The following is a 27196-nucleotide window of genomic DNA, read 5'->3' as shown; positions in this document are numbered from 1 at the left end:
CCAGCCTGGGTGACAGAGAGAGACTCCATCTCAAAAAAAAAAGACCCAGGAGTTCCCTGGGGCTGAGGAATCTTCATTTCAGTATATCCCCATGCTCCCTCATACACACCAGGCAAGATGCATGTGGTCCAGGGCCACACTTTGAGAGTGCTCCAGACCCTCTGGGACTGTGCTGTCACAGAGCATATTTCTGTGCTCGGGGAATGAACCAATTCTGGACAAAGGCCTGTTCCGCTAGATGTCTCAGCAGCTGCTGTCTGAAGAACAGCCTGAACTGGCAGTGGCTTGGACAGAGCTGAATGGATGACAGAAATTGCCAGACTGGGCCGGGCACGGTGGCTTATCCCTGCAATCGCAGCACTTGGGGAGGCTGAGGCAAGAGGACTGCTTGAGCCCAGGAGTTCAAGACCAGCCCAGGCAACATTTTGTAGAGACCCCGTCTCTACAGAAAATACCAAAAATAGCATGCGTGGTGGCATGCACCTGCAATTCCAGCCACTCAGGAGCCTGAAGCAGGAAGGATCACTTGAGCTCAGCTCACCACTGCATTCCAGCCTGGGTGACACAGCGAGACCCTGCTTCAAACAAAGAAACTTCCAGACTGACCGTGCTTCCGTCCCTTCTTGTCACAGTGACCCTGCTCAGATTTTGGCCAGACAACAATAAGCAAACTTGGCAGTCAGATAAAGACCTTCAGCGCCTGGCAGCTTTAGAAGTTGCTCTCCAGGGCCAGGCACCTCCAGACAGCCTCTCCTACCCCCTCCCATGATTGCTGAAAGTTCACTCACTGGAAAGAAGCTGAGAGGTCACCTGGGACAGCCCCCCTTCTTTTACATGTGAGGAAGCACAGCCCAGGAGGTTTCGCAACTAGCCCAGCCACCTGACTCTCAACTCAGATGGTTACATAAGGCCACTGTCTTTGGAGCACAAAGTACATCCCAGCACTGGGGGAACAGGTGTGAGTTAGACACCATTACTCCATTCCTGCCCCACGGGACCCACAGTACAGATGGTCCTGACTTACAATTTTTCAGCTTTGCAATGGTGCAAAAGCAATGTACATTCAGTAGAAACTGTACTTGGAATTTGGGATATTGATCTTTTCCCCGGATAGTGATGTGTAGTCTCAGACTTGCAGTGCCTGTCAGGGCAGTGGGCCACAGCTGCCCATCAGCCCTGCCATCACGAGAGCAGGCAGCTGACACTCTACAGTGGACTGTGTTGCCAGCGTTTTTTGGGTATTTTGTTTTGTGTTTTTGCATCCCATCATAACTACAAAATGGCCATCTGTGCCTCCTGCTTCTGGGGAAAAGAAGGCAGCTATTACTCTTGCAATGGAACTGAAGATAATTGGCCAGCACGGGGATAGCATGCGTCCCACGCAAGTCAGGACTCTCGCAATCCGTGATCTCATCCTTTAGAGGCATTTTGACTTAATGATATTTTCAGTGCATATAACCCCATCGTAAGCCAAGGAGCATCTGTGGAATAGGGAAAGATGTTCAAAACGCAATAAATAACACAGCTCAAGACATTTGCATGATGAGCTGTGGGGTGCAGCAGAGAATTCAGAGAAGGTTTCTGGGGGAAATGAAGTGGGGCTGAAACCTGCATGATGAACAAGTCAATGTCAAATAGTCAGGTGCTGGAGACTTGTCTGTCGGGGAGGACTTTCCAGGCTGAGGCACTGAAAGGAGGCTGGGTGGAGGGTGTAACCAGGAGATAGGGACGAGAGATGAGGCTGGAGGCCTGGCCAGGGCCAGGCCATAGAGGGCTTTGCAGAACCAAGGAAAGGGTTCTGAGCAGGAGGCACAAGCTCAGATGTGCGTTTGAAAAGGACTTGGTGGCTCCATTTGGAGCATGAGAGCGGAGATACGAAAAAGTGGATCCCTCTGAGAGGTATTTAAGGAGCTAAAGCCAAAGGCCTTGGTGAGGACGGATTGGAGGAGGGAACGGGGAGTAGAGGCGTGGGGGCCGGACCTCACCCGGCTTTCCTCTGTCCAGCTCCTGCCATCTTTGACTACTTCCTCTCACCCTTTGAATGGAAGGAACCACCTTCCCTGTAGGTCTTCCCCTCCTCGGGCCTAGGCCTGTCTGTCTCTGACCAGGCTTCCCCTGCAGAATTTGGTGTCAGTAACCACTTCCTGATCAATATCTTCCCCATTGCCTTCAGGATACAATTCAAAAGATCAGCCTGCATTTTTTCCTTTGTGTGTCCCGGGTAAAGCGGTTCTCTCCAGATCCCCCACCTCACCCCCCTCAACCTGCCTGCCTTCTCTGATATTTCTGCCCTGTAACCCTAGAAGGTCCGCCAGCTCCTTCCCACACAAGTGGAAACATTTCCCTGAGCTGGGGCCTGGGCTATCCCACCTCTGTTACATCCCGGGCAATGCCCGGGGTCCATCTTTGGGGTTACTTTTCAGAACTTTTGCTGTTTTGATTCAGCCAGGTGATGAGAGGCTGATGACCAAGAAGAGGCACAGCTGGAGTACCTGAGGCCAGGTATCTGCACGTTCCCTCCCTTGCAAATCCAGTCTTCCTCAAGCTTTCTCCAGGATAAAATGGACGCATCTTTTGAGAAATAAGCACCATTCGGCTCACATTTCCATTGTGTTATGGGTTACTCTCTTTACAAAGCCCTCATTTAAAGCCCAGTGAGACCTCAAGGGTCAGGGTTAACTTGAGAGGTCTGGAAGGGAGATGGCAAATGAGAGAGAAAATTACAGAGAGGAGAGCCAGACAGGGCATCTTCCTCATGTTATGTTGGACACTTGGAGAAGAAAGTATTGGACAATGAGCATGGGAAAAGAAGGGGGTGGTCTCTCCTTATCCCATGCCCTTTAGTAAACAGAAAACTTTATAGCAGATGGGATTAGAGATGGGAGACAGACCCAGGCCGGTCCACATACACTTCATGAGAGACTAAGCAGGTAGCAAAACTCTACAATCACATTTTCACAAAGCAGAGACACACACACACAAAGGACTAGAAGGAAAGCTCCCAAATTACCTCTCAGCGGTGAGATTTCAGAGGGTTTTTTCCTATTGTTGGTCTTGGTTTTCTATTTTTTTCTACAGTAAATATGCATGACATTTGTAATAAACACAATGGTATACATATATGTACATACAAAGAGAAAAGGTGAGGTCCCCAGCATGTCAGTCTAGTGCTCATCCCTGGAGACCTGGAGAGGTCCCCCACATCAAGGGGATCAGGCTACTGGGAGGGCTGGATTTCAGAAACCTGCCCTGTTATTATTATTATTATTATTATTATTATTGCTATACTATTAAAGCAATAACAGGCTGGGCAAGGTGGCTTATGCTTATAATCCCAGCTCTTGGGAGGCCGAGGCAGGAGGATTGCTTTAGCCCAGGAATTCAAGCAATGGGCAACACAGGGAGACCCTATCTCTAACCCAAAATACAAAAATTAGCCAGGCATGGTGGTGTGTGCCTGTAATCTCCGCTACTCCAGAAGTTGAGGCTGCAGTGAGCTGTGATCACACCACTGCACTCCAGCCTGGCCGACAGATCAAGACCCTGTCTCAAAAAATAATAATAATAATAAAACAATAATAGCCTTAGAAAGCCCCTTCTCACAGCAGCTCTGTGAGGGAGTGTTGAACCAAGACATGATTATTATCTCCATTTTACAAATGAATATGCAGAGACCAGAAGAGGTTAGGAGGCTGTTTCAATCTGCACAGCTGCTTCCTGACTTACTTTCGGAGGTCAAAGCAGGGCACGCAGCCCCAGGTCTTGAGATTCCAAATCATGAGGTGTTTTTTTGCCCAGGCTGGAGTGCAATGGCGCGATCTGGGCTCACTGCAACCTCCGCCTCCCGGGTTCAAGCGGTTCTCCTGCCTCAGCCTCCCAAGTAGCTGGAATTACAGGCGCCTGCCACCATGCCCAGCTAATTTTTATTTTTTATTTTTTGTATTTTTAGTATAGACGGGGTTTCACCAGGTTGGCCAGGATGGTCTCAATCTCTTGACCTCGTGATCCGCCTGCCTTGGCCTCCCAAAGTGCTGGGATTACAGACGTGAGCCACCACGCCCAGCCATGAGGTGTTTTTGTTTTGTTTTGTTTTGTTTTTTGAGACCAAGTCTTACTCTGTTGTTCAGGCTGGAGTGCAGTGGCACCATCCTGGCTCACTGTAACCTCCACTTCCCAGGTTCAAGCGATTCTCGTGCCTCAGCCTCTGGAGTAGCTGGCACTACAGGCGCCCGCCACCACGTCTGGCTAATTTTTGTATTTTTAGTAGAGACGGAGTTTCACCATATTGGCCAGGCTGGTCTCGAACTCCTGACCTCAAGTGATCCATCTGCCTCAGCCTCCCAAAGTGCTGGGATTACAGGCGTGAACCACCGCGCCCAGCCCCAAATCATGAGTTCTTTCTGGTCTGTGAGAAAGCATGGCTGATGGATCTTATTCCATGGCTTTGACCTCGGCATTACCCTTGCTGTCCTGCACACCACAGCGGGTGCCACAATATCCCACAAACTACCGAGCCCCCACTCCAGAGGCACAGCGGCCCCCCTCAGCCCGCGCAGGTGCAGAATGTGGGCCTCAAAGTCAAAAGCTTATTCACGCCTTAAGTGCATACCAGTTGCTTCTTGTGCCGCGTCCTACCCTCTCGGTTTGAAAACCACCCAAGCTGGCAGGAGAACGTGGATAGGATTGTGTTTTTGTGGTTTTTAAAACCACATTATTTTTAGGAGACAAGGCAGAAACAGCCCTAACCTAATGATTAAAAAGAAAAGAATCCCACAGATAAGAACACCTCGACCCCACAAAGAACCACATTAAAACCCCTTTTTTCTTTCACATACATAATTACTGGCGGGGAGGGGGTGGTACAGGATGCCTCTGGTTTCCTCGGTAGAGGTTGACTGAATTCTGAAGAAATCATTTCGCAGCTCTGAGTCCACGACAGACCACGCACCCCCTCCTCCGTGCCTCGGGATTATTTAGATCGCAGAGCTCCCGAACTTTTGACCGCTACTTTTCAAAGAAACAAGTTCCCTTGTGTTTTGAAGTTCAGGCAACTTGCGTTTTATTGGCCGGAATCAGCTCCCAGAGAAGGCACCCCCGGATGCAAATGCAGCCTGGACCTGGTAGAGCCCCGTTAGGGGCAAAGGTCCCAGCTCTCCGGTGTCTCCTGGCGCAGGAGGCTGGAGCCGCCGGCCTCTCCGAGCCAACATGCGCCCGGGCGCGTACCAGCCGTTCCCGCAGTGCCCCGCGGGGCCCCCAGTCGGGTGGTGCGGAGCGGAAAGCGGCCGGGACGCAGGCAGAGGAGCTGGGGTGCCCGCCCGGCTCCTGGCACGATGCTCCCCGGAGCCCGCCGGCGGACAGCTCGCTCGGTCCCCAAAGCCCGCCAAAGTCACCCGCGGAGGCAGAAATCACCAGGTCCCCAGCCCGCCGGTACCGGCCTGCCACTGAGGCCACCTTACTCACCGCGGGGCCAGCCAGGACCAAGAGCGCCCGCAGCTCTTCTCGGAAGGCGGACAGCCGCAAGCAGCGCGACCCACGGACCTCAAGGGTGGCCTCCGGGCCTCCGCGCACTGGCGCGGGCTCCTCAGGAGCTTCCATGTGACTCGCGCGCTGCGGCCGGGTAGCGCGGAGGCCGGCAGTGGGTACCGCGGAGGCCGGCAGTGAGTACCGCGCAGGCCGGCAGTGGGTACCGCGCAGTGCAGCCTGCTCTGCAGTCCCCGCCCCGGCCGCCCGCCCAGAGCCCGCCCCGCGCCTGGCGCCCGGGGGCCCGACTGAGCGCGCAGCCAGGCAGCCTGCGACCTTGGGCGCGCCCCTTGCACCTCTCTCTGCACCACTGCGGACGCCTGCGGGTCTTGCAAAGACCAAGGAACTCCTGCACTTGGAAGGCAAAGTTTGAAAAAGCTCTGTAAACTAACGGAACGCGCTCCGGGGGCTGGGTCCTCCACGTCTCGGACGCCAGGACTCACCCCGGCTCTCCACCTCCGCTGGGGGTTTCAGGTTCTGAATGACCTGGCGTGGAAGGACCCAGAGGCCTCGAGCCGTGACTCGGTTAGCACCCCGCGGGGTGTGTGGGGTTGGGCGCATTTGCTGTGCAGATTGAGTTGGGTACACCCTTTGATGCTGGTTAGGGTGTTGCATACTCCTCTCCTCTCATCAGTTGTTCCATTAGAGAACTTAGAATCTACCAGGATAGAGCAACATGCTCCCATTTGCCAAGTAGCACAGTTTGTGCCAGCTGGTCGTGTTGGAAGTTTATCCATCAAGCCTGCTGTGGGAGTACGAGAGGCTGCGGCCCAGAAGGGCAGGAGCAGCGCGCTTTCCTCCCAGAGCCTCAGCTTCCTCATCTGCAAACGTGAAAGAACACTCGTCGCCAGCTGTGAAGACTGGGGTTGCCTGGGCGGAGGACCGGAGTCAGTGCCACCTGCCCTCAGCCTGGCACCAGCCGTTACCTAATAAGTGTCAGTTACCAGGACAAGATTGATTTCTCTAATAGTCAAAATTCCTTCCGTTGTAATGATCCAATGTAAGTAGAGAAAATGGAAAACAAATTTTTTGGCTCACATAATCAGGAAGTTTGGATTCAGGGATTTGAAAACAAGGTCATTAGGCCAGGCGCGGTGGCTCACGCCTGTAATCCCAGCACTTTGGGAGGCCTAGGCGGGCGGATCACAAGGTCAAGAGATCGAGACCATCCTGGCCAACATGGTGAAACACCGTCTGTACCGAAAATTAGCTGTGCATGGTGGCGCGCGCCATAATCCCAGCTACTAGGGAGGCTGAGGCAGGAGAATTGCTTGAACCCGGGAGGCAGAGGTTGCAGTGAGCCGAGATCTCGCCACTGCACTCCAGCCTGGTGGCAGAGGGAGACTCCACTCAAAAAAAAAAAAAAAACAAAACCAGATCATTCTTGTTGTCCCTCTTCCCATCTCTGTCCCTCTCCTCCCTTCTCCTCGCCCCTTGGGATTCTTTCCGTAGTTTCTCTTCCTCCTCTGCCGGCAGCCTTTCTCTTCCTGTGCAAGTGACAGTGGTGGCCTCTGATACCCTCGTTCCTATCTTTCCCGTCTGTTAAACCAGAAAGTAAGGCCCTCCCCTCCTCTCTTCTGGTTCCAAACTAACAAACAAAAAACTGGGAGAAAATCTGGTTGGCCCTGCTTAGGTTTCTTGCCCACCTCTGGAACAATCGCCCTGGGTGGGAAAATAGGGTCTGATGTTTGGCTGGCCCTGGACCATGCACCCAGCTTTGAACCTACAGGGTTAGGGTTAGGTGCCCTGTGACTGGTCTCGTCCCACAAGGACTGTACATATGGAGTAGCGCAGTTTCCCAAAAGAACTGAGAGTGTCAACAGACAAATACCCGAGGATATTCACTAGATCTCTGATCACTGCTGTTTTTTGATAATTTTCTGGAAGTCCTGACTGATGTAATAAGACAGGAAATGGAAATGTAATGTATAATGTTAGGAAAGAAAAGGCAAAGGGATTACTCACAGTAGAAATTGACAGACCGGGCCAGGCACAGTGGCTCATGCCTATAATCCCAACACTTTGGAAGGCCGAGGTGGGAGGATCACTGGAACCCAGGAGTTTTGAGACCAGCCTGGGCAACACAGTGAGACCCCATCTCTTAAAAAAAATCCACACAACCCAAAGAAATAAAATATGAACAAAAGCTAATAGAATTGATAAAGGGGTTTAATAAAGTTGCTACATAGAAGTTCTTCAACAAGTCATATCAGTCCTTTATATTGGTAATAACATATATGAAAATACTAAAAGAAATCTTTCACAATAGCAACAAAAAACAAAAGGTCCTCGTGATACAGAGCATAACTCCTCACTCCTTAAAGGTGGATTGTACACAGTGACTTCCTTCCAAAAAGTAGCACAGGAAAATTAATTTTCAATTAATATATTAGGTTTTAGTCCACTACTGTGTATTCCATTATTTTAAAATTTAATAGAATGATTCTAAAAGCAATTGATAGTGTAAACAGGAAAAGATATAACAAAAACTCTGAAAAAGAAAAGTAAGGAGGAAAGAAGTAGCTCTATTGGCTGGTAAATAGCTTTTAAAACAACGTGTGGTTGGCTGAGCACATTGTACAGGTGAGTAGCCCACACCTGTAGCCCCAGCACTTTGGGAGGCTGAGGTGACAGGATCGACTGAGCCCCGCAGTTTGAGGCTGCAGTGAGCTATGATTGCACTACAGCACTCCAGCCTGGGCAGCAGAGTGAGACCCTATCTCAATAAAAAACAAAAAACAAAACAATTAAAAGAACAAAGAACCCTGTTACTTGGAAAGTGTTAGGATTTTGATTGACATTGCATTATATCTGCAGATTTATTCAGAAAGAATGCACCTCGTTAAAATTCTGTCTTCTATTTCAATCATATCCCTAGTCTAATCAGTACTCATCTAGGGAATGGGAGACTCACTGGACTAGGGATATGATGAATTTGTTATTGATGCTTGATAAATAGTCATAAGTATGTTCATATACGGTTCTTAACTTGCTGAAATATATTATTAAAAGCATGTATTAAAATTGAATTTTATCAGGGTTTTTTTTTTTTCTTTTCGGGGGGACAGGGTCTCTCTCTGTCGCCTGGACTGGAATGCAATGGTTTGATCTCGGCTCAAAGCAGCTTCGACCTCCCTGGCTCAAGCAATTCTCCCACCTTAGCCTCCTGAAGAGCTGGGACTACAGGCATGTGCCACCACACCCGGCTAATTTTGTTTTCTTGTTCCTTTTTTTTTTTTTTTTTTTTTTTGAGACAGAGTTTCACTCTTGTTGTCCAGGCTGGAGTGCAATTGTGCGATCTTGGCTCACCGCAACCTCTGCCTCCTGGGTTCAAGCAACTCACCTGCCTCAGCCTCCCGAGTAGCTGGGATTACAGGCATGTGCCACCACACCCGACTAATTTTGAATTTTTTTTTTTTTAGTAGAGTTGGGGTTTCTCCTTGTTGGTCAGGCTGGTCTCAACCTCAGGTAATCCACCTGCCTTGGCCTCCCAAAGTGCTGGGATTACAGGCATGAGGCACCATGCCCAGCCTATTTTCATATTTTTTATAGAGACAAAGAGGTCTCACTATATTGCCTAGGCTGGTCTCAAACTCCTGAGCTCAAAGTGATCCTCCTGCCTTGGCCTCCAAGAGTGCTGGGATTACAGGCATGAGCCACTGTGCTCTATATATATATATATATATTTAGTATTAATTGAAATAATCAAATTTTTCTTCTCTTTTCGGTTGTTAGTGTAAGTTCATTGTAGATTTCCTAATGTTTAGCTGTCACTGATTCCTGGAATAAACTTCCCTTATTCATAATAGTATACTATAACAGGTATATAGTGGTAGATTTATTGCTAATATTATATTCAGGATTTTTATATTTATTTATTTTTATACAGACAGGGGTCTCACTATGTTGCCCAGGCTGGTCTTGAAATCCTAGGCTCAAGCAGTCCTCCTGCCTTGGCCTCCCAAAGTGCTGGGATTACAGGCGTGAGCTGCTGCGCCTGGCTTCCGTGAATCTTTAGGCTCTGTAATTATTCAAATACCATAAGAATGATCTGTTTCTTGAAGGTTTGAAGGCCACTCACCTAGAGGACCATCTGATGCCTTTATAGAAGGGGTATTTTATTTAAAAATAAGAAAAAAAATAAAAGGTTTTCTGTTTATTTAGAAGTTGCTGGTCTATTCAGGGTTTTGTTTAACCTCTTCTTGAATTAATTTTGGTCATTCATGATAAGTGTTTATTGATTGCTGCTGTAACAAATTACCACAAATTTAATAGCTTATGATAACACAAAGTTACTATTTAACAGAGGTCAGAAGCCTGAAATGGGTTCCGTGAGGCTGAAATCAAGGTGTCAGCAGAGCTGCGTTCTTGCTAGGGCTCAGGAAGAATCCATTCCCTTGCCTGTTCCTGCTTCTAGATGCCGCCTCCCTCTTCCTCCATCTCCAAAGCACATCACTGCAGCCTCTGTTCTTTCATCACGTCTCCTTTTTCCAGCTTTTACTCTCTTGTCTTCCTCTCAGAAAAAGAGATTCCATTAGGCCCACCCGATAACCCAGGATAACCTTTGCATCTTAAGATCCTTGTAGTAATCACATCTCCAAGTCCTTTTGCCATGCAAGGTTATGTATTCACAGGTTTCAGTAGATGGATGGGGACATCTTTGGGAGGCCTTATTCAGCATCTCATACTCACCATGTTCTGACCACGTCTGTATCTTCCCTGTAATTTTAAATTCTGATTAGCTTTTCATTTTCTAGTGGGTACTTTCTCAGGATATTGTGGCGTGTGCTTTCTGAATGTTTGCGGTCATGATATTTTACACATTCCCATGCTTCTAGCGTTATACATTACAGGTGAAAACTCCAATCCACTCCAATTCTCTCTCTCTCTCTCTTTTTTTTTTTTTTTTTTTTGAGATGGAGTCTCACTCTGTCGCCCAGGCTGGAGTGCAGAGTGCAATGGCACGATCTCAGCTCACTGCAACCTCCACCTCCCAGATTCAAGCGATTCTCCTGCTTCAGCCTCCAGAGTAGCTTGGATTACAGATGTGCGCCACCATGCCTGGCTAACTTTTTTTGTATTTTTAGTGGAGATGGGGTTTCACCATTTTGGCCAGGCTGGTGTCGAACTCCTGACCTCAAGTGATCCACCCGCCTCGGCCTCCCAAAGTGCTGGGATTACAGGTGTGAGCCACCGTGCCCGGCCCTGATTCTCTTTTTTTTTTTTTTTTTTTTGAGATTAAGTCTCACTCTTTTGCCCAAGCTGGAATGGTGAGAACTCAGCTCATTCCAACCTCCACCTCCTGGGTTCAAGCGATTCTCCTGCCTCAGTCTCCCGAGTAGCTGGGACTACAGGCATGTGCCACCACACCTGGCTAATTTTTGTATTTTTAGTAGAGACAGGGTTTCACTGTATTGACCAGGCTGGTGTCGAACTCCTGACCTCAAGTGATCCACCCGCCTCGGCCTCCCAAAGTGCTGGGATTACAGGTGTGAGCCACCGTGCCCGGCCCCGATTCTCTTTTTTTTTTTTTTTTTTTTTTTTTTTGAGATTATGTCTCACTCTTTTGCCCAAGCTGGAATGGTGAGAACTCGGCTCATTCCAACCTCCACCTCCTGGGTTCAAGCGATTCTCCTGCCTCAGTCTCCCGAGTAGCTGGGACTACAGGCATGTGCCACCACGCCTGGCTAATTTTTGTATTTTTAGTAGAGATGAGGTTTCACTATGTTGGCCAGGCTGGTCTCGAACTCCTGACCTCATGATCTGCCCGCCTCAGCCTCCCAAAGTGCTGGGATTACAGGTGTGAGCCACCGTGCCCGGCCCTCGATTCTCTTTTTATTGTAGAATTGATGGTGGTCATTGTGGCTAGTTCCCCAACATTCCTTTCACCCCAGATGGGTCATTTAGCCAGCCACAAGAATCTCATTTTCCTTCTCAGGGCCCTATGTAGGAATGGACATGCATGACCCAATTCTATTTAATGTATTTATATGTATATTAGAGACAGAGTCTCACTATGTTGCCCAAGCTCATGATCCAATTCTAGCCATGAAGCCTGAGTGAAAATCTAATGGCGTTTCTGGAAAAACTTTCCTATTTCTAACAGTCAGAGAAGAAAAAGGCCCCTATTTTCTCCTTCAGATATTGTGGCATCCGAATTTTTTTTTTTCGAGACAGAGTCTCACTCTGTTGCCCAGGCTGGAGTGTAGTGTGTGATCTTGGCTCACTGCAACCTCTGCTTCCTGGGCTCAAGAGGTCCTCCCACCTCAGTCTCCCAAATAGCTGGGACCACAGGAGCCCGTCACCACACCTGGCTAATTTTTGTATTTTTTTGTAGACACGGGGTTTCACCATGTTGCCCAGGCTGGTCTCGAACTCCTGAGCTCAAGCAATCCACCTGCCTTGGCCTCCCAAAGTGCTGGAATTACAGGCGTGAGCCACCACACCCAGTGGTATCTGAATGTTATGCCTGGAAGTGCTACAACCATAATGCTGCTGGCCCTGGGATAAAGCCAATATTGGAAAAGGGCAAAGCCAAGAGAATCACAGATATTAAATGAAGACAGAGAGGGAGAGAGAGAGGGAGGCAGAGAGAGTATAAACAGGTGATTGTAAAGGGTAAATACCTGTTTTTGGCAAGAAAGGGGAAGGCTTTTTAAAATTTAGACACACAGGGTAGTGCAGAGGCTTACGCCTGTAATCCCAACACTTTAGAAGGCTGAGGCAGGAGAATTGTTTGAGCTCAGGAGTTCAACACCAGCATGGGCAACATGTTGAAACCCCGTCTCTACAAAAAAAAAAAAAATACAAAAATTAGCTAGGTGTGGTGGCATGCGCCTGTAGTCCCAGCTACTTGGGAGGCTGAAGTGGGAGGATCACTTGAGCATGGAGGGGGGTGGAGGCTGCAGTGAGCTGTGATTGTGCCACTGCACTCCAGCCTAGATGACAGAGTGAGGCCCTGTCTCAAAAAATAAATAAATAAATTTAGATACACAGAAAGAGAGCCAACTTTTTCAGTTTTGTTAACTTTGCCCACAAATCATAAAGGAAAACGCAGAACTCAAAACTGACCAATTGGTTGAGCTACAGGAATCAAAGGCTGCTCTCCATTCCAGGGAAAGAAAAGGCCCTTTTCTAATTGAATAAATTGCACTCACACTGTATATAAACAATAAAGACAAAACTGAGGAGCCAGGAGACATTGGGATCTCCAAGATAAACACACAAACCAAAACAAGAACAACAAAAATCTACTACCAATAATCAGAATTCCTGCTCAGTCTGCTGTCTGGCAGAGTTCGCCTAATGGTCAGATCATGAAAACCTCACTGAAGGGGCCATAAGTCGCTGTATACAAATCAGAACACAAGCCAGAAACAGACCTGGCCAAGAATCAGACAGAATCTAGAAAGTAAAACAGAAACAAAGCCAGCAAACAGTTAAAAAAACACAGGAGGCGGCGCGGTGGCTCACGCCTGTAATCCCAGCACTCTGCGGGGCCGAGGCGGGCGGATCATCTGAGGTCTGGTGAAACCCCTTCTCTACTAAAAATACAAAAATTAGCTGGGCATGGTGGCGCAAGCCTGTAATCCCAGCTGCTCAGGAGGTTGAGGCAGGAGAATCGCTTGAACCCAGGAGGTGGAGGTTGCAGTGAGCCGAGATCACGCCACTGCACTCCAGCCTGGGCAACAAGAAACTGTCTCACAAAAAAAAAAAAAAAAAAAAAAAAAAAAAAAAAAAAAAAACAGATTCGTGAGAGTTAAGCTTTAAGCTTTATTGCATCATGAAATTCATCCTTGGCCGGGCGCAGTGGCTCACGCCTGTAATCCCAGCACTTTGGTTTGGGAGGCCGAGGCGGGCGGATCATGAGGTCAGGAGATCGAGACCATCCTGGCTAACACGGTGAAACCCCGTCTCTACTAAAAATACAACAGCAACAAAAAAATTACCCGGGCGCAGTGGCAGGCGCCTGTAGTCCCAGCTACTCGGGAGGCTGAGGCAGGAAAATGGCGTGAACCCAGGAGGTTGAGCTTGCAGTGAGCCGAGATCGAGCCACTGCACTCCAGCCTGGGCGACAGAGCGAGACTCTGTCTCAAAAAAAAAAAAAAAAAAAAAAGGAAATGCATCCTTATTGGGAGGATCAAAGGATAAAATGAGTGTAAAAGTACACTATGACTCCTTTTTTTTGAGACAGGGTTTCACTCTGTCACCCAGGCTGGAGTGCAGTGGCATGATTTTGGCTCACTGCAGCCTCAACCTCCTAGGCTCAAGTGATCCTCCCACTTCAGCCTCCTTAGTAAGGATTACAGGCACTCACCACCATGCCTGGCTAATTTTTTTATTTTTTATAGAGATAGGGTCTACCTGTGTTGCCCAGGCGAGCCTCAAACTCCTGAGCTCAAGTGATCCTCCAGCCTCCGTTTGCCAGAGTGTTGGGATTACCGACATGAGCAGCCATGCCTGCCTGTGAACCCTATTGAGGAATGCAAATATAAGCCATCACTATTAACGTCATCATCTCCAAGTTATAGGAGCTTTAGAAATTATCTAGGTTCGGCAGGGCGCGGTGGCTCACACCTGTAATCCCAGCACTTTGGGAGGCTGAGGCAGGCAGATCACCTGAGGTAAGGAGTTCAAGACCAGCCTGACCAACATGGCAAAACCCCGTCTCTACTAAAAATACAAAAAAATTAGCCAGGCGTGGTGGCGGGCGCCTGTAGTCCCAGCTACTGGGGAGGCCGAGGCAGGAGAATGGTGTGAACCTGGGAGGTGGAGCTTGCAGTAAGCCGAGATCGCGCCACTGCACTCCAGCCTGGACGACAGAGTGAACAGAGCGAGACCCCGTCTCAAAAAAAAAAGAAAGAAAATGATCTAGGTTCATCTGTGCACCTGGACAAACCGCCCCGGAAGCTCCAGTAGATCAGTGCCTCCAGGCTTTCTGGGTGGACCCTTCCCAGTGGGAGAAAAAGCCAGAAGCAGATGCATTTTAAACAAGGGAAGAATGTTATCTGCAGAACAATTGCATGGTCAGACTTCAGGGAATGGATTTCCAAATCAGAAGACACTACAGGTTTTTGAAGAAAAAAAAAGACAAGATTACCAAAGTTACTGTCTGTTAATGATATGAAAAAAAGAAAAAACAGCGAAAATTTCACATGAAAATCATATCCATAAAGGTCATAACACATCTTCAGATATTAGCATTACAAAAATCAGAGAGAAGAATTTCAGGTCAGGGAGTCAACAACTTCCAGGAACAACTCAAGTTTCACTGATTTGGGATACTAGGACTTGACAGAGTAACCCTGGTTTTTTTGGTTTGGTCTGATTTATCTCAGAGCCCAGTGTTTGGTTTGTAATTTTTTCCTAACTGTGGGATGTGATGCCTGCACTTAGCCATCACCATAGCGGTTCAAAGCGTCAGGTTTTGGGGGGTTTTTTTTGTTTATTTTTGTTTTGAAACAGAGTCTCTGTTGTCCAGGCTCGGAGTGCAGTGGCAAGATCTTGGCTCACTGCAACCTCTGCCTCCTGGATTCAAGAGATTCTCATGCCTCAGTCTCCCAAGTAGCTGGGACTACAGGCACACGCCACCACGCTTGGGTAATTTTTGTATTTTTAATAGAGACAGGGTTTCACCATGTTGGCCAGACTGGTCTCAAACTCCTGACCTCAAATGACCTGCCCACCTCTGCCTTCCAAAGTGCTAGGATTACAGGCGTGAGCCACGGTGGCCAGTCTGTTTCTTGTTGGTGGTGGTGGTTTTTGTTTTGTTTTGTTTCTCGAGACAGCATCTTGCTCTGTCGCCCACGCTGGAGTGCAGTGGTACTATCATGGCTCACTGCAACCTTTACCTCCCTGGCTCAAGTGATCCTCCCGCTTTAGCCTCCCAAGTGGCTGGGACTACAGGCTCATGCCACCACGCCCAGCTAATTTGTTGTTGTTGGTAGAGATGGAGTTTTGCCATGTTGCCCAGGGTGGTCTTAACTCCTGCGCTGAAGCAATCCTCCCGTCTTGGCCTCTCAAAGTGCCGGGATTACAGGCATGAACCACTGAGCCTGGTCATGAATTTAAATCTTATATGATTCCTCCTCTTTGAAACTTGATAACCATGTGGCAAACATTCCTAAACACGTGGTTGCCTCTCGGGGAACACATAAACAATGAAAAGTGGCAAAATCAAGATAATTCCAATACACATGTACGAGAAATTCTAACAACCCGGATTGGATGTCCCCAAGTTGCCCAACCTGCTAAGGTCACCCTATCATCTAAAATCAAAATTAAAATGGTCGAACCGAACCCCAGCTTACCTGTAGTGGGAAACCCAACACCCTTCCCCGTAATATCTCCAAAAGAGGCTTGTGGTGGTGGGTTAGACAAGGGGCAGTGGTGATTGGTTTAGGCAAATCAGGATCAATCCCTTGAAACTTAGATATGCTTAAGTATGCATAAGTGAAATGAATGACAGCAACCATAGAAAGGAATGAGAGGGAGGAATTAGGATTATTTTGTTATTATAAAGCACTTGTATTACCTGTGAAGTGACACATTGTTATTTGGAAGTGGACTTGAATTAATTGTAAATGTATATTGCAAACTTTTGGGGAACCACTAAGAAAAAGTTTTTAAAAAAGAAAAAGAAACACAGGCTAGGCAAGGTGGCCCACGCCTGTAATCCCAGCAATTTGGGAGCTGAGGTGGGAGGATTGCTTAAGCCTCGGAGTTCAAAACCAGCCTGGGCAACGTAGCAAGATCCCATCTCTATTAAAATAATAATAATAATAATAATAAAATAAAGCTATTTTAAATATAAAGACATCTAGATTAAAGGCAAAGGGATGCAGAAAGATATATTATGCTAACGCTTATCAACAGAAAGCAAGGGTTAGCTATACTGACTTTAGACAGAACAGATTTCAGAGCAAAGAAAGGGATATCTTTATAAGGGTATTACACAATGGTAAAGGGGTTAATGCATAGCAATTTTTTTTTTTTTTTTGAGACAGGGTCTTGCTCTCTTTGTGTCACCCAGGCTGGAGTGCAGTAGTGTGATCTCGGCTCACTGCAACCTCCTCAAGTGGTCCTCTCACCTTAGCCTCCCGAGTAGCTGGGACTATAGGCACATGCCACCATGCTTGGCTAATTTTTGTATTTTTTTGCAGAGACAGGGTTTTGCCATGTTGCCAAGGCTGGTCTCAAACTCCTGGACTCATGCAATCTGCCCACCTCGGCCTCCCAAAGTGCTTCACCTGGCCCCATAGCAATCCTTAATGTGTGAAGCAAAAACTGATAGAACTACAAGGAGAAATACATGAATCCACTATTATTGGTTGAAGATTTCAACACCCCTCTATCAAAAATGAACAGATCTAGCGAGCAGAAACTCAGTAACTCAGTAGCACCACCAGTCAAGCAGATATATAAGTATTTGTAGGCTGCTTCATCCAGCAACGGCAGAATATACATTCTTCTCAAGGTAGCATGGAACATCCATGAGATAGGCCATTTTCTGGGCCATAAAACACACCTTAACAAATTCAAAAGAATAGAAACCACACAGACCAGGCATGGTGGCTCACACCTATAATCCCAGCACTTTGGGAGGCCCAGGCGGGTGGATCACCTGAGGTTGGGAGTTCGAGACCAGCCTGACCAACATGGAGAAACACTGTCTCTACTAAAAATACAAAATTAGCTGGGCATAGTTGCTCATGTCTGTAGTCCCAGCTACTCGGGAGGCTGAAGCAGGAGAATCACTTGAACCTGGGAGGCGGAGGTTGCGGTGAGCCAAGGTCAAGCCATTGCACTCCAGCCTGGGCAACAAGAGCGAAACTCTGTCTCAAAGAAAAAAAAAAAAGTTAAAGGAAGTGAGGTAAAGTGCACAGGGCTTCAGAAGAACATTTTGGGCCGGGCACGATGGCTCATGCCTGTAATCCCAGCACTTTGGGAGGCCCAAGTGGATGGATCACCTGAGATTGGGAGTTCGAGACCAGCCTGACCAACACGGAGAAACCCTGTCTCTACTAAAAATACAAAATTTAGCCGGGTGTGGTGGTGCATGCCTATAATCCCAGCTACTCAGGAGGCTGAGGCAGGAGAATCGCTTGAACCAGGGAGGCAGAGGTTGCAGCAAGCCAAGGTCGCGCCATTGTACTCCAGCGAAACTATGTCTCAAAAAAAATAAATAAAAGAAAGAAAAGAAAAAGAAAAAGAAACCACACAAAGTATGTTGTCAGGACACAATAAAATTAAACTAGAAATCAATAACAGAAAGCTAGCTGGAAAAAGCCCAAAATATCTGGAGATTAAACAACACATTTCTTTTTTGAGACAGTTTCACTCTTGTTGCCCAGGGTGGAGTGCAATGGCGCAATCTCGGCTCACTGCAACCTTCGCCTTCCGGTTTCAAGCGATTCTCCTGCCTCAGCCTCTCAAGTAGCTGGGATTACAGGAATGCGTCACCATACTCAGCTAAGTTTTTGTATTTAGTAGAAACGGGGTTTCACCGTGTTGGTCAGACTGGTCTTGAACTCCTGACCTCAGGAAATCCACCCGCCTCAGCCTCCCAAAGTGCTGGGATTACAGGTGTGAGCCACTGCGCCGGCCAACAACACGCTTTTGAGTAACACATGGGCCAAAGAAGAAATCCCAAGAAAAGTTTTAAAACATGTTGGTCATGAATTTAAATCTTATGAAAATGAAAATACAAACTATCAGAATTTGTGGGATGCAGAATTAAAAAATAGTGCTTAGGGGGATATTTCTAGCATTGACTGCATCTATGAGAAAAGAGAAAGATCTAAAATCAATCATCTAAGCTTCTACCATAGGAAACAAGAAAAAGAAGAGCAAATTAAATCCAAAGCAAACAAAAGAAAAGAAAAAAAGAAATTAGAGCAGAAGCCAATAGAATTGGAAATAGGAAATCAATAGAGAAAAACCAACAAAACCAAAAGCTGGTTCTTTGAAAAGAAAAATCATTGTGGTTCTGTGAGCACAGAATAGGAGCAGAATGGGTGTAAAGCAGGCAACCAAGAGTGAGCGTCTGACATGTATGCTCAGCAGAAGTCCATATCCTTGTCCAAGATGTCAAAGAAATCTCTTGATACATCTCTGGGCTTGAAGCACTGCCCTACAAGGTGCCCCCATGTACACCCCGACAGAGGACGCCCCTCCGCCCCACCCAGCTCACACCTAGTCATATGCAGATGTAAGACCCTGAGATTTTAAGCCCAAATGGGCAAAACATGTGGCCACATCTTTTTTATGACTTTTTGTTCAAAACATGTGGCCACATTTTAAGGGGGCCTGCCCCTCCACACCCCTGGGTACTTCTCGCAAGGTGGAGACAAGAGAGTGGGAAAAGAAATAAGACACAGAGACAAAATATAGAGGAAGAAAAGTGGGCCCAGGGGACCAGCGCTCAGCAAGTGAGGACCTGCACCAGTACTGGTTTTTGAATTCCCTCAGTATTTATTGATCACTATCTCTACCATCTCGGCGAGGGGGATGTGGCAAGACTATAGGGTAATTGTGGGGAGAGGGTCAGCAGGAAAACATGTGAGCAAAGGACTCTGTGTCAAAAATAAGTTTAAGGAAAGGTGCTGTGCCTGGATGTGCACATACGCCAGATTTATGTTTGACTTTACACATCTCAGTGCAGTAAAGAACAGTATTGCCGCCAGCATGTCTCACCTCCAGCCGTAAGGCAGTTTTCTCCTATCTCAGTAAATAGAATGTACGATCAGGTTTTACACCAAGACGTTCCATTCCCAGGGACGAGCAGTAGACAGATGCCTTCCTCTTATCTCAACCGCATAGAGGCCTTCCTCTTATCTCAACCGCATAGAGGCCTTCCTCTTTCACTAATCCTCCTCAGCACAGACCCTTTACGGGTGTCGGGCTGGGGGACGGTCAGGTCTTTCCCTTCCCACGAGGCCATATCTCAGGCTGTCTCAGTGGGGGGAAACCTGGACAACACCCAGGGTTTCTTGGGCAGAGGTCCCTGCGGCCTTCCGCAGTGCACTGTGTACTCGAGACTGGAGAATGGTGATGACTTTTACCAAGCATACTGCCTGCAAACACATTTTTACCAAAGCACATCCTGCACAGCCCTAAATCCCTTAAACCTTGAGTCAATACAGCACATGTTATCTGCCAGCACAGGGCTGGGGCTAGGTCTACAGATTAACAGCATCTCAAAGCAGAAGAATTTTTCTTAGTACAGATCAAAATAGAGTTTCTTATGTCTTCCTTTTTCTAATAGATACAATAACAGTCTGATTTCTCTTTATTTCCCCCACAACATCTTTTATGACTCAGCCCAACAATCTCCAGGCAGTGCCCAAGGTTAATGCCTAGGCCAATTGCTGCTGCAATCTGGGCTCAGGATGTGCAGACCAGAGATAGCCAAGGGTGTCTGATAACTCTAAGGGCTTGGTCGTGCTCAACCAGGATGGAGCTCAAGCCCCCAGACTGGCCAGGAGCTCAGTTGACTCAGCACTGCTCTTGAGTGCAGGTCAGAATGGGACTAGTGTTGGATTTTGGAGGTTAAAATAAAATACTCCAGGTCTTGACAGAGATGACTTAGCTGAAGTCATTCTGTTCCCCATCAAACATGACCCCTGGACTCAAGAAACAGGCAGCATCATGGGATGGGAGGCTGAGCCCTGGAGTTGGAGACCAGCCTGGGCAACATAGTAAGACCTCATCTCTACAAAAAAATTTAAGAATTAGCCAGGCATGGTGTCATGAGCCTCTAGTCCCAGCTACTCAGGAGGCTGAGGTAGGAGGATTGCTTGAGCTCGGGAGGTCAAGGCAGCAACAAGCCATGATTGTGCCACTGCAATCCAGCCTGGGCAACAGAGTGAGACCCTGTCTCAATAAATAAATAAATAAGGGCCAAGCATGGTGGCTCAGCCTGTAATCCCAGCACTTTGGGAGGCCGAGGTGGCAGATCACCTGACGTAGGTGTCAGGCCTCTGAGCCTAAGCTAAGCCATCATAACCCCTGTGCCCTGCGTGTATACATCCAGATGGCCTGAAGCAACTGAAGAGCCACAAAAGAAGTGAAAATAGCCTTAACTGATGACATTCCACCATTGTGATTTGTTTCTGCCCCACCCTAACTGATCAATGTACTTTGTAATCTCCCCCACTCTTAAGAAGCTTCTTTATAATTCTCCCCACCCTTGAGAATGTACTTTGTGAGATCCACCTCCTGCCCACGAAACATTGCTCCTAACTCTACCGCCTATCCCAAAACTTATAAGAACTAATGATAATCCCACCGCCCTTTGCTGACTCTCTTTTCGGACTCAGCCCTCCTGCACCCAGGTGAAGTAAACAGTCTTGTTGCTCACACAAAGCCTGTTTGGTGGTCTCGTCACATGGATGCATGAGACAGTAGGGAGTTCGAGACCAGCCTGACCAACATGAAGAAACCCCATCTCTACTAAAAATACAAAATTAGCTGGGCATAGTGGCACATGCCTGTAATCCCAGCTACTCGGGAGGCTGAGGCAGGATAATCACTTGAACCCGGGAGGAGGAGGTTGCGGTGAGCCGAGATCACACCATTGCACTCTAGCCTGGGCAACAAGAGCGAAACTCCATCTCAATCAATCAATCAATCAATCAATAAAATAAAAAGTAGGAGAACATCCTGTCCGCCATCTTTCCAGTCCAGAAAGCTCTGTGCAACTACAAAGGCCACTTGGAGTCATCTGAGGGACTATGTTTGTAAGAAGTACAAGGACTCTCAGATTGTAAGCCATCTTTGGAGAAGAGTGTTTGCTTGGTCATGCCTGTGAGGGGCCACTGTGGACCAAGTGTGACACCAGACCAGAAGTAATATCAAAGACCTTGGAGGGAACCATCTTCCAGGAACCTGGGTGTCATCTGATCACTGAGGGAGAATGCCCAGAAGCACTTTTTGTCCTATAGCTCCATTTGAATCTGTCCCCAAGATATTAATAACAATGACAACTATAATAATGTAATACCATTGTCCATTACCTACTATTTGATGTAATGACATTTCCTTCTTGTAATATCATTAACAGCTGCCATATTCTAGGGCTGGGCTGAGTGTTTTCAGCCATTACCTCATAATCCTGACAAGGATCCTAGAGGGGGTTATTACTTGCTTTCTTCAGATGGGTGAATTGCAGTTCAAATGGTTTAAGTAACTTGCCTGGAGCTGAATGGCTAATCAGTGGCAGATAGGGGACTGGAAATTACTTCTGCCTGATTCCAGAAACAGAGTGGGAACAAAAGGTCATCATTTAACAACAGATAATCAAAAGACAGGAATATCCAACTCCATACACAGCTCATCACTCATTCAGCAAATGCACTGGGAGCACCTGCTGTCCCCAGAAATAAAACATTCAGAATGAATAAATTCCATATTTTCAGATGTGAGGAGTCAGAAATGAAAAGTAATGTCTCTAAACTGTCAGGATATGCCTAATTCCTAGAGTCAACAAAATGTCTAAATTCCCAATCATTCTGGTGGTTTGGTTCGTCAACTAAGGTACTTCAAATCAGTTTAATTCGGAACAGTTGGGCAGAATCTTTTCGGCCGCAACGTGCATGAGAATCACCTGGAAACCTTGTTCAGGTGCTGATTCAGAGTCTGGGGTAGGTCTGGGTGGGGTCTGAGAGTCTGCAGCTACTCCCAGGCCTCCTCTGCTGCGGGTCTGAGGCCCACCTTCTAAGCAGCAAGGCTGTAGAGAGTTATCACGAGAGTGTCAAAGCTGGAGGCCTCTCCAGCTTGCATTGGACACATGGGGTCACTGGGCCTCAGAGGAAAATGGGACTTGCCCAAGGTCACACAGGAATTTAGGGCAAGAGCTGGCCCCAGAAGTCCTGGCCCTCAGAGCAATGGAAGTATAAAGACAGCCCTGTTCAGCATCACCACAAGAATAACCCCCAGTTTTGAACACCTAACTGCCAGGCCCTATAACACATTCTCATTTGATTCTCACCAAAAAGAAAAAAAAAATCACAATGGGCATTATTATCTCTTATTCTTATTTCTTCATAGGTGAGAAAACTAAGGCTTATGTAAAAGCAACTGGTCAAACCAGGATTTAAATGTAAATATGTCTAACTTTAAAGCTTGTTCTTTCTGCTAAGGCACATACATTTCATCCCATTTCAAAATGTCTAAGACCAGACAATCATGGGCGGTCTTCAACAAGTAGGGGACTTAAGTTGCATTCAAGTACAAACTATCTCTATTTTTTTTTTTTTTTTTTTTTTTGGTTCAGGATCTCACTCTATCACCCAGGCTGGGGTGCAGTGGTGCGATCATCACTCACTGTAGACTCGATCTCTTGGGTTCAAGCGATCCTCCCGTCTCAGTCTCCCAAGTAGCTGGAACTTAGACTCCCGACTAATTATTTATTTATTTATTTTTGGTAGAGACTGGGTCTCATTATGTTGATAGACTGGTCTTGAACTCCTGGGTTCAAGCAATCCTCCCTCCTCAGCCTTCTGAGTTTCTGGGATTGCACTCCGGAGCCACTAATAAAAATAAATATTATTTAAATAATAATTTTAATTAAAAAATAACTAGGCCAGGTGGGGTGGCTCACACCCATAATCTCACCCCTTTGGGAGGCTGAGGCTGGAGGATCACTTGAAGCCAGTAGTCCGTACCAGCCTGGCCAACATAGTGAGACCCCATTGCTACAAAAAAATACAAAAATTAGTCAGGTGTGGACATGCTGGTAGCCCCAGACAGACAGGAGGCTGAGGCATCAGGATTCCTTGAGCCCAGGAGTTCAAGGTCCCAGTGAGCTCTGACGGCACCACTGCATTCCATCCTCGGTAACAGAGAGATATCCTGTCTCAGAATAATAATAGTTGGGGGTAGCAGTCTTGCCATGTTGGCCAGGCTAGGCTTGAACTCCAGGCCTCAAGCGATCCCTCCACCTTGGCCTTCCTAAGGCATTGGGATTATAGGCGTGAGCCACTGTATCCAGCCCCTAAAAGTGGAGTTTAAAGAGCTATAAATTATTTCAGTGTCTTATTGCAAAGTAAGGCAATTAAATAGACTATAGACATATGTAACACTTAAAATAGAAACACTTTAACCCAAGTTAAAACATTTAAAACAGGCCGGGAGTGGTGGCTCAAGCCCAGCACTTTGAGAGGCCGAGCCAGGCAGATCTCCTGAGGTCAGGAATTTGAGACTAGCCTGGGCAACATGGCAAAACTCCGTCTCTACTAAAAAATACAAAAATTAGCGTGGCGGTGGGCGCCTGTAATCCTAGCTCCTCGGGAGGTTAAGGCAGGAGAGTCGCTTGAACCTGAGAGGCAGAGGTTGCAGTGAGCCAAGATGGTGCCACTGCATTCCAGCCTGGGTGAGAGAGCGCAACTATGTCTCAAAAAAAATTTTTTTTTTTAAACAGAAAAACTACCTACTCACGGGTGTTCTGTTATTCCTTGTCAAAAAGTAACAAAGCTATTTGGGAAAATTGCGTTTTTCTTTTTCTTTTTTAAAATGTCTACTCCTCCCTTTGCACAGATTCTACCTGTGACTCGGTCTCCAGGCTTCCTTTGGGTTGACTTGGCTGAGTGACATCTGGCCCAGCACTCCGGGGCCATGCAAAGACCTTGGGGTGTGCTCCTCCCCCAGCATCTGGAATGTTATTGCTCCGTCTGCTCTGCTGTGGTCCCTCCAGTGGGCCACTGGCTCGGTCAGCTTTCCCAGTCTCTCCATAGCAGGTTTTGACCGCATCTTCAAACTGGAGTAGTCAATACTGTATGTGACAAGGGAATACTGTGTGTGACAAGGAAAGTTTTAAGGCTCATGACTGTAATCCCAGCACTTTGGGAGGCAGAGGCAGGTGGATCACCTGAGGTCAGGAGTTCAAGACCAGCCTGGCCAACATGGTGAAACCCTGTCTCTACAAAAATACAAAAATTATCTGCGCACGATGGCAGGTGCCTGTAATTCCAGCTACTCGAGAGGCTGGGGCAGAAGAATTGCTTGAACCCAGCAGGCAGAGGCTGCAGTGAGCCGAGATCATGCCACCATGCCATTGCACTCCAGCCTGGGCGACAGAGTGAGACTCCATCTCAAAGAAAAAAAAAAAGCAACTACTGTTCCAGATTCCCAAGTTTCTGGTTAAAACTGCCTTCTCCTTTCTCTTCTCAGTGTATTTGTCACTAAAGAAAGACACCTTCTCACCTACATTGTACCTCACATTGCTCCAAGGTGGAAACACTTGTCAGGTGCCAAAGAGGCAGTCTGACAACTTCAAAACCTCATAATACATTATCAAGATGTGTAATATATTTGTGTTGTTTGTAGCAATGCTGTGTTGATATTAATTATAGTTCCCATGATTTGAGGGAGCCAAAAAATATTTTTTAAAATAGTGATAATTCTATCCCAAAGAAAAATTGTTAATACTTAGCCTTTGAAGGTCTCAGGAAATGAGACATTTTAATTTTCAATTTACATTTGTATTTTTGTGGCAAGAGTCATGGTAGAGTGGTAAATAAAAGACTTTCAGCATAAAAGTATATTACAAATTGATGGGGGAAGGAACGGAAATATGAAGAGAAAAAGGAAAGATGAATGATTCTGACTGTTAAGGAAGAACTTGTTCATGTATTTTTAAAAAATGGGTGACAGTATCAAATTGTGTTGTGTATATGTCATTGGATATATTTAAAACAATGATGTAATCGTTTTATTTTTAAATGTTACTATTTGCGATATGCCAGCCCTCGCAACTATTTTTAATTATGGTGAAAATGTTTTATGCCCACTTAGAAAATGTACAAGGGTTACATGGTTTTCCAGAAATTATTTTAGAGAATACCCAAGCACAAAGTTAATTAGTTCTATGTTGGAGGAAAAAGATGTTCGCAGTGACGTCCCTGTGATTCCTGGGCTTGCCGTTTGCGCCCTCTGCCGGTGTTCTGAGATTTTGCTTTTTAGACAGCGAAACTGTCCTTTGCTCTATCCTTTGCTAACTGTGGTCAAAATCTCCCCACCAGGAGGGCCTGACAAGAGCCAGGCGGCCTGTGATGGCCTCAGGAGCCTGTTGTGCATTTGAATGATCCATCGCAGCATGCAGGTCACAGAATCAACGGGTCCCTGTCTTGGAGCTGGGTGACAGTGGAACACACTCTTGGTCTAAGTTCTGAACTTACACAATCTTCTTTTGCTGACTGATCTAGTGATGAGTTTCTTAGCCTTGGAAATATTAATAATTCTAGAAGAGCTACTGTCAAAAAGAGCCATATTCTGGAGAATATTGGAAGAGATTTATTCTGAACCAAATATGAGGATCACAACTTGTGACACAGCCCCATGAGGTCCTGAGAATATGTGCCCAAGGTGGTTGGGTCACAGTGTGATTTTATACATTTTAGGGGGAGAGAACTTGCAGACATCAATCTATATATTTAAGGTGTACATTGGTTCTGTATGGAAAGACAGGATAACTCAAAGAGGGGAGTGAGAGCTGGGAGTGATGGAGGTGGATTGAGGCTTCCAGGTCATAGGTGGATTCCAAGATTTTCTGATTGGCAATTGGTTGAAAGAGTTAAGTTATGATCTAAAAACCTGGCATCAATAGAAAGGAGTGTCTGGAAATGGGGGTTGTGGAGATCAAGTTTCTGTTCATGCAGAGGAAGCCTCCAGGAAGCGGGCTTTAGAGCTCTTATCAGGCCTGAAAAGGTACCAGACTCTTAATCTCTCCTGGACCAGGAAAAAGACCTGGAAAGGGAGGGGGATTCTCTACAGGATACAAATTTCCTCTACAAGAGACAGCTTTGCAGGGCCATTTCAAAATATGTCAAAAAATATATATTCTGGGGCTGGGCATGGTGCCTCACACCTGTAATCCCAGCAGTTTGGGAGGCCTATGCGGGTGGATCACTTGAGGTCAGGAGTTCAAGACCAGCCTGGCCAATATGGTGAAACTCCATCTCTACTAAAGATACAAAAATTAGCCAGGCATGATGGCACGCACCTGTAATCCTAGCTACTCAGGAGGCTGAGGCAGGAGAATTGCTTGAACCCGGGATGCAGAGGTTGCAGTGAGCTGAGATCACACCATTACACTCCAGCCTGGGTGATAAGAGTGAAACTCTGTCTCAAAAAAAAAAAAAAAAAAAAAAAAAAAATATATATATATATATATATATATTCTGGAATAAAATACATTGATTTCTTTCGGGGCCTGCTATCTGTCATGTGATGCTATACTAGAGTCAGATTGGAATTTGGTACCTATAAAGACATTGTTTTGTCAGTCTTAAGATCTTTATCTTATTTTTTTTATTATTATTTATTTTTATTTATTTATTTATTTTGAGACGGAGTTTTGCTCTTGTTGCCCAGGCTGGAGTGCAGTGGCCTGATCTTGGCTCATTGCAACCTCTGCCTCCTAGGTTCAAGCAACTCTCCTGCCTCAGCCTCCCAAGTAGCTGGGATCACAGGTGCCGGCCACCATGCCTGGCTAATTTTTGTATTTTTAGTAGAGACGGGGTTTCACCATGTTGGCCAGGCTGGTTTCAAACTCCTGACCTCAGGTGATCCACCTGCCTTGGCCTCCCAAAGTGCTGGGATTACAGGCATGAGCCACTGCGCCCTGCCAGATCTTTATTTTAACATTAATATTGGTCCCTTGTACCTGAATTCCAAA

At 46.7% G+C, this 27196-nt stretch overlaps 1 protein-coding gene across 1 annotated transcript in view, besides 1 other annotated feature; it reads right to left on the bottom strand.

Moving 5' to 3' along the window:
- SLC47A1 (solute carrier family 47 member 1) overlaps positions 1 to 5681 on the bottom strand; it is a 45181-nt gene extending 39500 nt beyond the window's left edge. Inside the window, exon 1 of the mRNA NM_018242.3 lies at positions 5461 to 5681. Within this exon, the coding sequence (NP_060712.2) occupies positions 5461 to 5595 (135 nt within the window). The 5' untranslated portion in view covers positions 5596 to 5681. The remainder of the gene's footprint in view (positions 1 to 5460) is intronic.
- Positions 19990 to 20709: an enhancer, noted in NCBI's record as "H3K27ac-H3K4me1 hESC enhancer chr17:19422139-19422858 (GRCh37/hg19 assembly coordinates)". NCBI's record gives its function as "activates a minimal SCP1, AML or CMV promoter by ChIP-STARR-seq in naive H9 embryonic stem cells {active_cell/tissue: H9 hESC(naive)}" and the evidence as "EXISTENCE:reporter gene assay evidence [ECO:0000049][PMID:30033119]".

Source organism: Homo sapiens, chromosome 17 (genome assembly GCF_000001405.40).
Source record: "Homo sapiens chromosome 17, GRCh38.p14 Primary Assembly".
NCBI classification, from domain to species: domain Eukaryota; kingdom Metazoa; phylum Chordata; class Mammalia; order Primates; family Hominidae; genus Homo; species Homo sapiens.
This window is presented reverse-complemented; position numbering and strand designations above follow the sequence as displayed.